Source organism: Homo sapiens, chromosome 8 (assembly GCF_000001405.40).
Source record: "Homo sapiens chromosome 8, GRCh38.p14 Primary Assembly".
Lineage (NCBI taxonomy): Eukaryota > Metazoa > Chordata > Mammalia > Primates > Hominidae > Homo > Homo sapiens.
The window spans coordinates 58,068,208-58,082,099 of record NC_000008.11 but is presented as its reverse complement, the minus strand read 5'-3'; the positions used below and the strand labels follow the sequence as shown (position 1 = coordinate 58,082,099).

The following is a 13,892-nucleotide window of genomic DNA, read 5'->3' as shown; positions in this document are numbered from 1 at the left end:
TTCAACCCTAGCCCATGTGCTCGCAGCTCCCTGTACAGAAGAGTTGGGAGGGCAAGGCTTATTTATTCATCCCCTTGAGCATCTAAGAGCCTAGGTTCTTTGATGAAGGCAAAAGTTTTAAATAAATTGATCATACAATTTAAGAGATAACACATAAACCCTCACAGACAGCAAAGAATAATTCCAAGACTACTTATAAATAAATGCACATGGTATACATTAAATTGTGAAGAAATTTGTTGCATGAATTATGAATTTGTTGAATGAATAAATGGCAAAAATTCTTAGATTCTAAGAAAAAAAAAACCCATTGCTTTTAAAGGAAAAAGTAACTTTTGAAACGGGCACTAAAGGAACTCTTGGACTTTAAGAGAGTGGAATGGATAGGGGATTTCGGGCAAGACGCAGCCCACAAGCTCTGAGGAACCAGGTGTGTAGGGAACATGAGCAGAATAACAGACGCTGACTTTGAGTAAGCAGAAGAGCCCAGATGAGAGGTGGCTTTGGAATTTAAATTTAGTAGACAGATAACTGGGAGAAACAACGTTTCAGAGCAGGGAAGTAACAGGATGAAAACTGTAAAAGAATTTTCTGGCCAGGTATGGTGGCTCACGCCTATAATCCCAGCAATTTGGGAGGCTGAGGTGGGCAGATCACTTGAGGTCAGGAGTTCGAGACCAGCGTATCCAATATGGCGAAGCCCTGTCTTTATCAAAAATATAAAAATTAGCCAGGCATGGTAGCACACGCCTGCAATCCTAGCTACTTGGGAGGCTGAGGCAGGAGAATCGCATGAAACTGGGATGCAGAGGTTGGAGTAAGCTGAGGTTGTGCCACTGCACTCCAGCCTGGGCAACAGAGCCAGACTGTGTCTCAAAAAATAAAAATAAGAAAAAGAATTTTCTGCCTCTTACATGGACTGGTGTGGGAGCAGAAACTAGAGGCAGGTGACCAGCACAGGGCTAAGTCAGTAATGGGGTTGTTTGGTGATGAAGAGGGCTGTGCTGAGGCATGAGCCCTCGAGGAGGAGTCAGCAGGGCTCAACACCTGAACAGGCAGGCATAGTAAGGGACAGTCACTTGAGAGGCTTCTTCCCAGAGGAAAGGTCTCCACTGACTGTCATGGTGAGTGAAAGCTGTCTCTTTTTGACCAAGGATGATGTGGAGCTTGGTTTTAAATGTATCATAGAGAACTAGACCCATAGGACTCAAGTAAAGGCAAAACATAAGTATTTCAGGAACATGAAGGGCCAGTGCTCTGTGAAGCTCTGCCTAAAGACCATGCAAGGAGAGGGCAGCATTGCTCCCCTGGTGAATAGGAGGAATTTCCAGAAGAAATGCAGATTAGGAATATATTTAGGTTTTTGGTCGCATCTCTGAACATAGATACACACACATGATACCAGAATTGAATATTTAGCATTCTTTTATCCTATGCTATGGAAGAGGGAAACCTGTGTGGAGAGGACACTCCAGTGCTCACTAAACACAGGGTCCTGGCAAGCATCACATCTCTCTGAACTTCTCTGAGTACTCAGAATGCATGAGTGCTTTCTGCGTCCACACCTAGAGATGGTAGCACATGATTTACAGGTTGAAAAGAAAGTGAGAAGGTCTGGAAACTCTAGGTTTTCTCCTGGCACAACTGCAATCACTGTTTAAATCTCCTCTCTTTCACCTGTGTCCTCCTAACAGTCTCTTTCCCTCTTTGTATGACCTTTTTGGCCTCTTTCCTACTCTAGCTGATTGAAGATTTTCATGGTTTCTACAGATCATTCTAATATTCCACCAGACATTTATGTTTCCTTGTAACCTTTCCATTCTACTTTCCCCATTGTCCGACTTCCCTCAACCGACTTTCCTGTTGCATGTATGACCCTGATATTGTAAAGCAATTAACTGGTGTGCAAGGGCTGGATAGAGGTTTGATAGAAGAGCCTTGGGTAGACTTGGGCTTTATACCCAGTGTATGTCTAACCACATGGTTGCCCTTTGGTCTGAAGTTTAGCCTCTGATACCCATATTACATATATCCCATATCTACATACTGAAGATTCTAATGCTTCTCTGAAGGGCAAGTGAAAACTGCACATAACGTCTCCAGCACAGGGCCACAGGGCAGTCCTTCTACAGTCCATGGTCATAACTGTAGCCCATCCTTCCTCTCTGCTGATCTTTGTAAGAAAACAGTGACTACATTTACAATTACACAATTTCTATTATAACAGCCACTAATAAACTATGCAGGTAGTAACACAGAATCTGTCTTACATTTGATTTAAAAAATTTTAATATGTCAAATTACTCTTTTTTTTTTTAAAGATAGGGTCTTGGCTCTGTCACTTAGGCTGGAGTGCAGTGGCATGATCGTAGCTCACTGCAGCCTCAAACTCCTGGGATGAAGCAATCCTCCCACCTCAGCCTCCCGTGCAGCTGGAACTACAGGCGCATGCCACAACACCTGGCTAATTTAAAAAATTTTTTTTTGTAGAGACAGGGTCTCACAGTGTTGCTCAGGCTGGTCTTGACCTCCTGGTCTGAAGCGATCTTCCTAACTCAGCCTCCAAAAGTGCTGCGATTACAAGCGTAAGCCACCAACACCCTACTGCCAATTTGATAATTTAAATTCCAATCAATAATTTTTTGAACTTCACAATAAGTGTGTGTTAAATCCTCAAAAATAGAATTATACTTCCTTCTGAGTATGAGGGAGACTATCCCTAGATCTACCCTTAGAGAAGTGTATACAATTTTTGTGAATAAGTAAAAGAAAACATCTAAAATCCCTGCTTCTTTTCCCAGAGAATGCCCTTTCCTCCTCCTCTTTTTAAAAAAGCAGAAAGCAAGCCTGGCTCCCGGCACAGTGGGTCTCACTGTCGTGCCGACTCTCCTGATTCCTGAGAAGACCTTGCTCAAGGTCAGCTGAGATGGCCTCAGAGGAGCCACACCTGACTGTACTGCTGGAATCTGATCTCTGAGTCATTCTCTTGGCAAACAGCTGATCTGGGGAGAGGCAAAAGTCAGGGGTGCTGGCATGAGAGGATGATGAGTCATTGACAAGGTACAAACCTCTCATTCTGGAGGACCAGCTTTAGGAAACACCGAGTTGGAAAAAAAAGGTGTCTGGGGAAAACCAGCAAGCATTTTTGGTGAGGCCCATTTAACATGCAAAATAAATGCACGAGGGTTGTTGTTGTTCTGAGCAATTTCTCAAGTATCTAGCACGCACCATATTAAAAAGGCAAAAATCTGGCCGGGCGCGGTGGCTCACACCTGTAATCCCAGCACATTGGGAGGCTGAGGCGGGCGGATCACGAGGTCAGGAGATCCAGACCATCCTGGCTAACATGGTGAAACCCCGTCTCTACTAAAAATACAAAAAATTAGCCGGGCGTGGTGGCGGGTGCCTGTAGTCCCAGCTACTTGGGAGGCTGAGGCAGGAGAATGGCGTGAACCTGGAAGGCGGAGCTTGCAGTGAGCCGAGATCGCACCACTGCACTCCAGCCTGGGTGACAGAGCCAGACTCTGTCTCAAAAAAAAAAAAAAAAAAAAAGGCAAAAATCTGGAGAGAAGTTTTGAAAAAGGAAACCTTCAAGGAGAAACTGACTTTATCAATTACTTAAGTTTGAATAAGATAACAAGAAACAAAAAACAAAGGAAGTCTTCAAGCTTATTTCCTGAAATTGTAATTACATGCATAATGCATAGAAATTGGTGTTTGTGTATTCCTTTAAAAATGACTTACATATATACACTACTCAGGACGTTTCATATTCTAGGATGAACAAACTCCAAAAGGTTTGACCAAAAGAACATTACAATATCATTTTATTTCATGACTTCATTTGCCTTTTAGTTTCCTTAAACAAGGAGCCACTTTTAAAAAGACCCAGTGTGTTCTCTAAAAACAAAGTAATCTTAAACTCACATATTGAGAGCAGTGAAAATTTAATGGCGATAATAATGCATATGAATTCATAAGGCTGCTTATCTGTAATTTAAGAATCTAGGAAAGAAAAATGTTTTAATAAACTTTAAATGCAATAATAACCTGAAAGTTAAAAACATTTGGATACAGATAAGAAACAAATTATGCTTTTCAAAACATTCTTTAAAGCACTTTTAAAAATGTTTCAATCTATTTATGGGAAAACTGATATAAAAAACAACTCCAAGTAACTTGCACACATTGACTTAAGGTTATTTAAGAATTAGGTATCGGGGTTAGGATTTACGCCTGCAACCCAACTGACACTGTGTTGGTAAGTCACATGGCTAAGTTCTTTCTAACTTTCCTGATCTAGGTAAATAATAGTACTGATAAAGCTCAAGCCAGTTACTTATGCCTGTGAAGGTAACTCACTGTCTTCTCTGGATGGTTTGCCTTGATGGGGGGAGGGACCTACCCCTTCTTGTGTACCTAGGCTATATCAGGTATCTCCATTGCTCTGTCTTGTTACTTTCCCTATACCCCCACTGCCTTGCTGTTCTTCTTACTTGGCATATGAGAAACTGAGGCTCACAGAAATAAAGCAAACCATCCCAGTCCATCCAACTGGTTACTAAGCAGACGAGCTGAGGTGAAGGCCAGGTCTACTCAACTCTGTAGTTCTTCCCTGGCCACTAGGGCTGCAAACTCAACTGCAGTCAGCAGCCATCCTGGTGAGCAGATCATCACGCAGCCACATACAAGAGAGAGGAGGGGTGGTGGGATCACAAGAGGGAGCAACATGTCCTGGCTTGCTCTGACTTCCCAGTTCTAGCACTGCAAGTCCCATGTCCTAGGAAACCCCTCAGCTCTCTAGGATGGTGCAGAATGAAAAGCATGGGCCTGTTGGAAAGTATTCCCCACTAAGTACACCTGCACTCGGGTACAGTTCTACAACCTCAGCTCCGCAAGTGCTGGCGATGGCAGATGCAAACCTCCTTCCAGCCAACAGGAGCCCCCGGCTTTCGTATCAGAGCTTCTTATATCTGAGATAAGAAGATAAGTAAGATGGCGATAAGAGTGAGAGACTTCAGGTTATAGCACTGAGGGGTGTTGTTGGCTTTCTCTTTAATTCCTGTTTCTACATATTGCAGAATTCTGTCTGGCACAGGTTGATTCTTATTTGTCAGCCTAAGTTAGATTCTTAGGTTCTAGAAAAGAGATCATATCACCCGACAACATCCTGCATAATGCAGTAATAATAAATTACAAAATACATGGCTTACTATATAAGCAAGAGTACATTACAAATGGATGCTAGAAAGGAAGCTAGAGGAAGGCTGTCAATCAAATCCAAGCATGGGGCCACTCAGAATGTGGGCACTGAGGCTGAGGCTCTGTTCTCCTGAGGGTTGCTCTTTACACTCTTCAACTCATGGTGGAAATGAGGTAACTGGAGAGCTTCTTTATTTTCCTAAACATTTCTAACCTCCTCATTTGGTGTTATTGAGCTCTCAGTCCCTCCATAAAAGAGGGAATCATCTGTACTTTGACCCCACCATTCTTCCACTTCCTTAGCTCTTTCCTGGAAGATGGTCTGGCTGTAGGAAGAGACCTGGAAAAAATGTTCCCAGGCTCTCCATCAGCTGTGGGGACCAGAAAGGAGTCCTGGGAGTGGTGGGGACGTGGGGAAAAGCACCCTGCCATTCCCAGGCCTGCTGGTCGGCCATCCTCCAAAGATGCTCCACCTCCTCAGTCTCAGTTCCTGGACTGGAATTTAAGTTCTGCTCTCTTGACCCTGCCTCCCTTAAGGGGCCAGCCTGCAAAGATCTCTGCGGGTCACCCACTCCCAGTGCCCTTGCTGCTGACCCTGCACCACCATCTCATTCCCCGAGCACAGAGAGTAAACTTCTGACCAGGCCAGGTGGCTCATGCCTGTAAACCCAACACTTTGCAACGGCGAGGTGGAAGGACTGCTTGAAGCCAGGAGTTAATATCAGCCTGGGCAACATAGTGAGACCCCATCTCTATGAAAAAATTTTTAAAAATTAGCCAGGCATGGTGGTGCACATTCATAGGCTTAATTACGCAGGAGGTGGAGGCAGCAGGATCACTTGACCCCAGGAGTTCAAGGCTGCAATGAGCAACACACCACTGCCCTCCAGCCTGGGCAACAGGGCAAAACCCCATCATTGACAAAAAATAAAATTTTCTTTAAAACACAGAGGACTTCTAAACTCCTGGGAGATTACCTGATAAATAGCACACAGCATTTAACAAACTAATAACTAGCTGATATGTAGAAGGTGTATCATGAAACCCCTTGGAACGGCAAACAGCCATCACCGATACTTTGGTCCTGGCAAGGACCTCAAAAGGTGGGGATTTTATTTTATTTTATTTTTTAAATATTTATTTATTTATTTATTGCCAGACAGCAAAATATCTGAAACCTCAGCTTCTTTGTCTTAGTGCAATAATGACACAGGTTTTCGTAGAGAATCAATATCTCCTTCTCAGAATGGATCAAAGCAAAGCAATATGCTTACCTGAGAGGGGAATGAGTATTTTATGGATGGTAGGCAGAGGTCACAGGAATGCTGTCCTTTCTTAAAATGCTCTCTGCAGCAGGAAATTGCTAAAAATCAAAGGAAGAAAAGATTGTTATTGCCTTTTTATTTGATAAAAATAGGCAAGCTATTAAATACATTTAGCAACAGACAGTGGTAATTCTTTTAAAAATTAGTCAATACAGGCTGGGTGCAGTGGCTCACGCTTGTCATCCCAGCACTTTGGGAGGCCGAGGGGGGCAGATCACTTGAGGGCAGCAGTTGGAAACCAGCCTGCCCAACATGATGAAACCCTGTATCTACAAAACACACACACACACACACACAAAAAAAAAAAAAAGCAAAAATTAGTTCAGTGTGGTGGTGCTACTCGGGAGGCTGAGGCACAAGAATCACTTGAACCTGGGAGGTGGAGGTTTCCGTGAGCTGAGATCATGTCACTGCACTCCAGCCTGGGTGACAGAGCGAGACTCTGTCTCAAAAATAATAAAAATAGAAACTGATCAATATATTAAAAAAAAAAGACAGCAAACATGTCAGTACACCAAAATGCATTAGTTTTTACAACTTCATTTGGAAACTATTTTGTTTACTTCAACTATTGTTTCTTTTTTAAAACAGACATTTAACCATGGATAGCAATTATGCAGAAAGAAGAATATAGTATCAAGTTGTGATGAGTTGCATAAATAACATTTTATGTGGCATCATATCTTACTTCCAGGGCTGTGAAAGAGTGATAAGAGTTTAAAGGGGCCTCAGAGTCCCTGGTACACACTCCCCATCTACAGAACCAGAAACTGAGGCCCATTCAAGGTGAGGGGCTCCGCAGCACCACTCCGGCTGGCTGGGGCAAAGCTCTTGATTGCCCCAGGAGCACCGTTCATCTGCACTGTAGCACCCCCATGCCGGGAATCATTAATTCTCTCATTCATTCAACAGGTACTGGCTGAACACTTTCTATGGACCAAGTACTATTCAAGGCTCTGGGGGTTAAGACGAAAAACCTCTGATCTCATGGAGTTTATATTCCAGAAAGGGGAAACTAAAGAAATAAACAAATACAGTAAATACTATCTCAGAATGTCCCACTGAGGTGGCTCCATTAGAGTGAAATCCTGCAGGCAGTGAGGGAACAAGCCATGGGCTCTCTGGGGAAGCACATCCCAGGCAGCAGGGGGAGCAGCAGTGCCATTCTCCGCGCTGTGCAAAGGCACAGGAGGTTGGTGTGGCTGTGAGTGTGGGGGATTGGTGGACACTGTGTGGCAATGGACGGGCCCACCGATGGAAAGCAGGTGGCATGGACAGGCAAGCTGATGAAGGCCAGAGCGTTGGAGAATAGCTACTTACAGGGGGGTAGCAAAGGAGACAGGGAAAAAACAAACCAGAGTTAGAGTTAAGAGAGCAACAGAGGAGAATTGTTTCCTGTCCTGGAGGTCCGCTGGGTCAGAGAGCTGCTCTAAGGGACTACCATCCAGCTTAGGCAGTGGGGTGGGGTCCGGAGGGTGGGAAAAGTAAAGCCTGCGCATTTTACAGGGTTTGAAAAAGTAAGTGTGGAAGCCAGGCTAGGGTAACACATGACAGAATTAGGAGGATTTCCTGACCGCAGGACCTATAGGAGTAGAAATGCAAGATCTGTTTCCAGGTAGAGATTTTACTGGTGGCAAGATCTTGTGCAAACAGGTGACCCCTAAAGTGGACTCCCCCTCCAAATTTGTCAAGAGTTAAAATTTAAATCCAATTAAATGTGTAACAAAAGCAGATGCCTTCAAGGTGAAATCCAAGTGTTACAATACAGTCTCAAATTTTACAAGCTTGTCTTTAATGAGCACATAGAAGAGAAATGACTTTCAGGAGTCTACATGCAGCCAAGAGGAAATGACAATTCCTGCCAATGCAAACAGTTCCAAAAGTAATCACTAAATTACTTAAGAGTATAATAGCAATCAAAGTGTTTGGTGATTTATCTAAGATGCATTTCTAAATTCTGGATACGTTAAAGAAAACTTCAATTCCCATATGATGTAAATCTATTAACATATTTCCATGCAACAACCTAATGTGTATTCTGAGAAGAGTTAGCAGGGAGAAGAGAAATGATATTTTACATGTATGGAAGTCAATAAAAAATATAAAAACAGGATATGAAGCTATGCCAGCTTCAACTTAATGCTGAGTTGTGAAGGTGATGTCAAGATGGGCAGGAAATAGTAAGTTCTGGATTGGGTACCATCTCTCTTCTCCTGAAGCCCTCCCTGGCACTCCTCACCCCCTTTCTAAAAAACTGGTTGCCCCTCCTTGGTATCACCAAACTATGTCTCTCTGTCTGCCTCGTGCAGCCCTATTATTATTAATTTAGCTGCTTCTCTTCCTCAGTAGTCACTTCTTACAGGAAGGGACTGTGCCTTCTATTTTCTCTCGATAAAGCTTAGCACAGAGCTTAGCATATGGTTAAGTGTCCATGATCATGGAATACTACAGTGAAAAATAACTACACTTAGATGAGAGGCCTAATATCTCTTTACATATTTTTCCAATCCCGGCAACTTTAACAGGTCAACCCTGAAATATTTATCAATTGCTAATGACAAATATCTTTCAGGTTTTTGGATTATGACAGATGCCAAGTGACCAGCCACAAATCCACCTATAGATATTGCCATGGAAACTCTTACATGCAATATCATGCACTACCCATTTCTCTTTCCTTTTCACAAATATTTTCCACACCTTGTTCAGCCCAGTTACTTTGCGGCACATCATATTTTTCATGGAATGACTTCAGTTTTTAAACTGGTGACCACTTTTCCTGTTGAGACCTCAGGAGAAAACATTAGAAAGTATCCCTTATAACAGAAAATGTTTTGATTTTAAAATATGATATGTATGTTTATGCTGATAGACCTATTGTTGTTTGGTCAGAAATGTCATCAGTAAAGAGCTATGGAATTTTAACGAGGAAAAAGAACAACATTTTAAAGTGTCCAAAAACTTTCTTTTTATTTTCTTGTCACAGAAATATGTAAAGAGTCTCCTTAATTTAGTTTTTAAAAAGTTAAGACGTGATACATCTGAAAATAAAAGCACATATTTTGGTTACTTTGCAAAAACATAAATAACACTTGTTTAATTCTGTTATAAAGAAGCCTCTTTGGTGTATGTTAAAAGTCCCTTTGGGATATCATAATACCGTTGCATTACACAGTACACAGATACATTCATATTTAAATTTTTAAAAAAGTTCCTCCTCCACACAGAAAGTCTTTAAGACCCAGCCCTAGGCATTTGACATCACTTAGAGCTACTTCCTACATCTTTCCATGACACACACCTCAAAGGGGCTCTGCCCAAAAGGAACTCTAGACAATGTTTATGTGTGCCCAAGGCTTTCACAGTGGAAAAAACCTTCTTGGAAATTATTTAAGACTAAGGCAATTTAGGGAGCATTTCAGGAGATAGAGAGACACACAGAGAGCGAGATGGATCCACACCAATTTATCCTTCCCAAAATGAGTGTCCAAGCCTAACTGTTGATTCGCAGAAAGGTTTTTCTGCACATCCACATAGAAGAGCACAGCAGGCAGAGGGAGGGAGGGAAACGAGAGAGGAGCCTGGACTTCTGGAAAGAGCAAAACCACTCTCACTGAAACTGCACTCTCCGCTACTGATACGCACCCTTCTGCAATGGGAACAGGCGTGGTTTGTATCAAGGAAGTGGAATGTGAAGTAGAACGACTGTTCCCAGGTTCATTTCACCACACAAGGTGTCTAAAACCTGAGAATGCCGCCAGCTGGTTCAAGTCACAAAGACACTGTATTACAAGCAACAACTATCAAACTTTCTTATTATAGACGATACTCTATTACAATTCATGGCAAGCTTTCATAATATTCCTTTTTTTCCCCTTAAAAATGTTATTTGGATGCATTTTGTACTGGATGACTTACTATCTGCCAGGATGGACCTGAAAGGAAATGTGGGGTGGGGAGGGAGGCACGGTTGGTAAGTACTCGGAAGTTTACTCTGTCAAAGAAAGTACAGAACCCCTTTAACCAGAACATAGTTCTAGATCAGAGCAGGTATTTGAACAAATCATTAAAATTGCAACGTTTAGTTTTTCAGGAGCAGAGAAATAATTCCTGATGGTTTTCAGAGATCAGCAAGGCTCTGGTGACAGCAGACGCGTGGTGGCTGGCAGCCAGCCGTGTGACTGGTGACTCAATACACAAGTTTCTGTGGACTCTACAGTCTGATATGGGAAGGACATCAATTTTTAAGTTTGATGAATAAGTAAAAACAAAGGCGTTTTTGGTATAAAATACGACACTATGGAGAAGGGACGCTGAGAAGGAAAAACTCATGCTGCATTTGTTTGGGATATTTGAACCTCAGCCTTGCCCATTTAAATATTTTTCTTTTAGAATGTACCATTTTTTTTAATCCCAGATTATTTAAGATTATCAATTTTCAGGAAAAAATTAATAGAAATAAAAATGTTGTCAAACAGTAGACAAAGTAAGTGGTAAGAACCCCACCTTCCTGCGACTTCGTTTCAACTCCTAACTCAATGTCCCTGCTAAACAAAGCCATGAGACGAAAATTTCTCTTTCAAGCACAGCTAAATATACACTTTAAATATCTCTGGCAGAATGGGATATGTTAACCCTCTCTGTATTCAAAAGGCTTAATAAAAACTACAAAAGGTGAGACAAAGAAAACCATCCAAAATGAAGGCTGCACACATCTTTAAAGAAACAATAGCACATTACTTCTGCTAAGGCACAGCTTCAACATCAGGAAAGTCACTGCCCTGTCCTAATTAGAGTGTGTTTCACTAAATTCTTCCTGATCGCTCATTATTCAGGACAGTGTGGACTCAATGCAAACAAAGTCTACTGGGTACTGAAACACACCTACAAAGACACCCAAATTGATGCAACATTGGGCATTCCAAAACAGAAGCGAGTCGGTAAGCATCACTCCCAAGCACACACATGCACTCTTGAATCCAGGTAAAAACATTATTCCTTGGTGAATACCATAAACAGGGTAGCTGTTTACCAGGCAAGCCTGCGGGAGAATGTATTTTCATATGGAATGCTGGAGTACCCATGGTATTAACAAAGCAAGATCAGATTAAACAGATGACACGATGAACATACTTCATTTCACGCATGGCCGTGTTTTTCGTGAGAGACAGACTTAAGTAATTACCATGAACTGAGCCTCCTTCACTGACCTCCCACAGCAGCCGGCTGTCCTTAACGCTGATGCTCCACAACAAAGACAAACGCCTTCTGTCGGGCGCCTTATTCCTTCTTTAACGTTACCAGCCGAGCACCTCCACCGTTGCAAGAACACAGTACAGCACCTCTGTATCTATGTCTCTAATGCAGCATAAAGATTACTGTGGAAACCTATCACACGGGCGAGCAGCAACGCCACCAACCAATGAGGAAAAGGCACATGCGGAATCCAGCACATGCTCTCTGAGACACAGGCTGTCACCGGCGTTTAGCAGGCTGCTAATCTAATTATAGCTGGTTTGCTAGCACAGAGCCATTGGAGCAAAGCACAGGAGAAAATTCAATTTTAATAAATTAAACCTCATAGACAAAATCATCTCGATTTCCTGTCATTTTGAGGATTAATGTGTCACCTTATAAACTATAAGTGATTTTTAAAGTGTGTTCTTATTTTCCTCAAATCTAGAGAAACAAAGAGTGGTTAAATCAATGTATAGCACTATCGGCTTACTTAAGCTTATCAGATTCCAGCATTAAGAATAAATAATAAAATCGATACTGTGAAAATAATAGTGGTGCTATAAAATCTGAGTCTTACTTTATTTACCCTAATTAACAATTTGCCACATATTTGTCATAAAGTGCTAATTAATCTCTCTTCAATATAGTTGGAAATACCATGCAAATTTCTATCTATAGTGGAAAAGTGCTAATCAAGGTGTCAAAAATCATAATCTTGACTACAGTGATTAATTCGCAGTTATAAGGGACAGAAAAGGGATCTCAGAAGTTATTGTAAAAGGAAAAATTAAACACATTTGGCCACTACACAACTGAACGGCCAAACTACTTCTAGAAGCCAAATCCTGTGATACATACGTGGGTGAAAAACATGCGTTCTCACAGCCAGACTGCCGGGGTTACAGTTCTGGATCTCCATTACCTAGCGCTGTGACCCTGGGCAAGTAACTGCATTTCTGTGTCTAAGACAATGATAGGAGCCACCTCGAAGAGTTACTGCCAATGAGCTGTAAGTGCTTAGCACAGGGCCTGGCACAGGGTGGATTCTGGGCTCTATACTAAGCTCTAATGAGTAGTAGTGATCTCAACCACTCCATATTGTCTCCCTTTCTTTCCAGCATCACAGCACTCAAGAGAGTACCTCAACATGTCTCCATCGTACAGTTCTGTCAGAAATACTATTCTGAAGCCATGAAGGCTGAGAAGCTAATGGTAGGGTTGATTAATCACACAGAACCATTATTGGTATTCACTGTTATAAGGCAAATTATTTCCCCTACTTCTTTTTAGATACATAATAGTCACTACTTTCACTTGATTCTATACAAAGCTATCTTAAAAATAAATTTTCAGGAAATTAAGGGCTTCTAATTATTTTTATTAATGATATAAATTTTAAAAATGTTTTCTATGGAATATAAATTGGGAAAAGTTTTAATTAGAAGGAGTTGGATTAAATTTAAAATGACAAATTTATGTTGAAAAGGGAGAGAAGTCAGCCAGTCAAATGCAACTCTCCGTTCTGAGAGTTGTTTATCTACTTCTTTTCCCCTAATTTCTTTCTTCTCAATGTGTTCTACAGAATTAGCAGTCCTGAGCTGATCTAATCAAATCTGTAAATGTTAAATGGTTTTTTTCATATTTCCTACAAGTGGGTATGTTCTACCAGTCAAATTCCATTCCAAAGATCAAAGATAAAATGCAAACTTCCCTTTTCTGTAGTTTTTTTTTTTTTTATTTTTAGCTAAAAAACTTTACAAAAAGCTGACATGCTCAAGAGGCATTATGATTTGCTCTGAGGAACCAGATTAATTAGTAGCCAAGAAACAGGACTATTGGCAAAGGGGCATTTCATCCTCCAATCTTTGTGTACCACAAACTGTTGGGAAACAAACCAGTGAAAGGAATGACATGGACCATAAACTTCAAGGGAAAGCACAGAAACTCATGGTCCATAAATTCAAGAGTGAAAACTTGTGCTGGAATGCAAACACATACGCAAACCCTGAAAAAATATGATGGAGATAATTGGCTAAAGAAAATGAGAGCTGTGTGTGCTACCTTGAAGCATCATCCTAGTGAATTATCAGAGTGCAATCACCATTACCAGGAGGTAAAAACTCCAAG

At 41.5% G+C, this 13,892-nt stretch overlaps 1 protein-coding gene across 6 annotated transcripts in view; it reads right to left on the bottom strand.

The window, feature by feature from the left end:
* The window catches only part of FAM110B (family with sequence similarity 110 member B), a 154,262-nt gene that overhangs the window by 66,685 nt on the left and 73,685 nt on the right, over positions 1-13,892 (bottom strand). For 4 of the 6 annotated variants that reach the window (NM_147189.4, NM_001377989.1, XM_047422400.1 and 1 more), the window contains one exon: positions 6,477-6,565. The gene's annotated coding sequence lies outside the window, so the exon portion shown is untranslated. Of the gene's footprint in view, positions 1-6,476; positions 6,566-11,712; positions 11,893-13,892 lie in introns of those variants that run through there. The other 2 variants (NM_001377997.1, NM_001377998.1) reach the window with 2 other exon arrangements.